This window comes from Homo sapiens, chromosome 3, assembly GCF_000001405.40.
Source record: "Homo sapiens chromosome 3, GRCh38.p14 Primary Assembly".
Taxonomy (NCBI): domain Eukaryota; kingdom Metazoa; phylum Chordata; class Mammalia; order Primates; family Hominidae; genus Homo; species Homo sapiens.
Window position 1 is genome coordinate 191,780,105 of NC_000003.12, and position 965 is coordinate 191,781,069.

Below are 965 nucleotides of genomic sequence, written 5' to 3' on the forward strand. Positions count from 1 at the left end.
TGCATTTCATGTGTGGCCAGACAATTCTTTTTCCAATGTGGCCCAGGGAAGCCAAAAGATTGAATGCTCCTGACTTAAGTAATCGAATATAAAAGACTATTAAATAAGGTTCTTCATTTAGCACTCAAAGTGCTAAATGCACACAAAAGAGAAGAAATATCCTTTGTGTTCTGTGTTCTTATGAGATGAAAGTCACAGAATGACCAGGAGTCATTTGCTTTTGAATCACATCCACAAAGACAAAGTTTTATAAAAAGCCATCTGTTTATTCATATATTCATTCATATACTTATTCAATAAAATGCGTACAAATGAAAAAGATACAGGGATGGCAGAAGCAAGGAAATCATAATTTCTGACTTTAAGGAGTTCAATCTAAGTGTGAAGTCATATAAACATAAACAACTGAAAGAAATGTGTTAACTACTCTGCTGCAAATACTCTATTGATAAATACTATACCAACTAATTCTAATTTCTCTTACCTCTCTTCTACACATTCATTAGTACTAACACACTATGCTCCATCCTGGTCCTTAAATAAATTCAGTATGCTCCCACCTCAGGAACTGTATCATAAAACTCATGTGCAAATTACAAAAAGGTAAGGCCCTACACGGCTTGAGGATTTTTGAGAAAATTGAGACATATCACTACTGAGAAAATAATCAGGTTAAAATGAAAATTCTGTTCTATAGAGTTCAAAAAGCTTGGGACTTAGAATCTGAAAACCTAGATTTCAGTTTGGGGCAGGCCAGATCTCAAGCTTTAGTTTTCTAGTATACAAATTAGGCTGGGCTTTCTTTCCTCATCTGTAAATTTTGAAAGGGATACACCAAAGAATTTCTAAAACCTTTTATGAAATATGGCAAGTTTCATACAAGTTCATTTCAGGAGATCAACTGAGCTAAAGAGAGAGCTGAGCTGCTGTGTATTGGAGTAGCTAATTAAAGAAACGAGCCAAAA